Raw genomic sequence first — 2,096 nt, forward strand, 5'->3', positions numbered from 1 at the left:
CCATTGGCTTCCCCGATTCTGAGTCCTTTGTATCTGGAGTGAGCCATGCTACCAGCTTTCCTGGTTCTCCAACTTGGAGACAGGCTATTGTGGAACTTCTCAGCCTCCATAATTATGTGAACCAGTTCCCCTAATGAATCTTCTCTCATCTGTCTACATATATCCTATTGATTCTGCCTTTCTGGAGACCCCTGACTAATGTGATTACAATAACTACACAATTCACTAGTTTATATAGAAGACTTGGTTTTTGTCTTTGCCCCATTTTATATTTGTATTATAACTATGTATCTGGAAAATGGAACAAGTTTTTTCTTCTTCATATGAGGGCTAAGGCTTTTTTCTCACCAATATTTTTGGAGATTTTAAAGATTTTCTTTTTTTTTGACATAGAATCTTATGGAGGCTGAGAAATAATTTTTTTTCTATTTTATTCTTCAGCCCCAGGTGTTTGCTTTTGCAGATTCTTGAGCACACTGAGAGCCTCCAAGGCATGGAGTGGGGTGCCTGAAGTTTCAGTGATTATAGGGAGTTGAGAGACTCAACTGGGAAAGGAAAGGTCTAAAAGGAGGCAATTTGGAAGATAAAAATTTTCTCAAAGGAGCCATTAAAGTTGTAAATAATTCTTAGTAAAGTCATGCAAACAGGAAAAGAAGTAGAATTAGTTCCATATTGGTGGAACACATAGTCAGCAGAGGTTTGAGAAGGGAGAATTTAGTGAAGTGAGAAGTTCCCATGAAAGCAGCAAGATCAAGATCACAGACACCTTGAAACAAAAAGCCAGGAATAACTTCCAACCCAAGAGGAGAACAGAGAGGCCTCAAAACCAAAGGTAGGATAAGAAACTTGTAGCCCAAGAGTTATCTTCCAGACAAAGAAGCCTGAGATTCCAACGCAGCTTCAGAGAGTGCTCACTCAAAATGTTACTGAAACTGTAGGCTTTTTAATGACTTAGCCATGCCTGCAAAAGGCATTCCCTAAGGTGGCACAGAAGACGGAGCCCCCATATCCAAAGATAGCCAAGGAGAAAGAAAGACCCCTGTTGCCAGAGCCAGTGGGCAAAGGCAACAGAAAAGGAGACAAGGGTCCTAATGGGATGAGATCCTTTCGGATTTAGGCTTTTATACAAACTCCTGAGAACTGGCAGGTTGACAGCCATAAATGGGGTACCAAACTTTCTACTCATTGGATTACAAGTTCTCAGGCATCCAGAATGATTAACAAAATGACAATTTCTAGGGCTTCTGTGGGAGAGTATGGAAAGGTCTTTTTGAACCTTTTAATGCTGTGAACGGAAGAATGATGAGGTTCATAAATTTGGAAAGGAGACATTTCTTCACTTTTATGCTTATTTTTATTTTTTTTTGAGACAGAGTTTCACTCTTGTTGCCCAGGCTGCAGTGCAATGGCATGATCTTGGTTCACTGCAACCTCCGCCTCCTGGGTTCAAGCGATTCTCCTGCCTCAGCCTCCTGATTAGCTGGGATTACAGATGCCCACCACCACACCTGGCTAATTTTTTGCAGTTTTGGTAGAGACAGGGTTTCATCATGTTGGCCAGGCTGGTCTGAAACTCCTGACCTCAGGTGATCCACCCACCTCGGCCTCCCAAAGTGCTGGGATTACAGGCATGAGCCACCCACCCAGTGAGAGATTTATTTTCTATAAAGGGTTGTAGCCTGCAGGGTTGTCCTTCTGACAGGCTGGGAAGCATAGCCTCCAGCCAGAAGCCAGAAACAGATGCTTCAAGGAGGAGGTAAAGGAAATAGCAACTTATGCTGAGTGGAATGGCCAATTAGATTTATTTAATAAGCTCTAGGAGGAGTCATGAATATTTATGGAAGGAGAAATGCATGCACGCACAATTGAGTTTCTTGCTTCTTCATGGGTCCCATGTACAAAAAATGGCAGTGTTAGCATGATCCCAGGGTGGAGTTTTCAGCCCTCTGACATTAAAAGGTGAAGCAGAGGACATGAAAACTTGCTCTGTGCATCCTCTGTACACTGGCCAGAACCTCTCCATCGTGGGTGGTCTCTTATCAGGCAAGAAAGGAGAGGTTGATATCAGTGGTGGAGGCTTTGAAAGGGCTGGTTTC

This window comes from Homo sapiens, chromosome 21, assembly GCF_000001405.40.
Source record: "Homo sapiens chromosome 21, GRCh38.p14 Primary Assembly".
NCBI classification, from domain to species: Eukaryota; Metazoa; Chordata; class Mammalia; order Primates; family Hominidae; genus Homo; species Homo sapiens.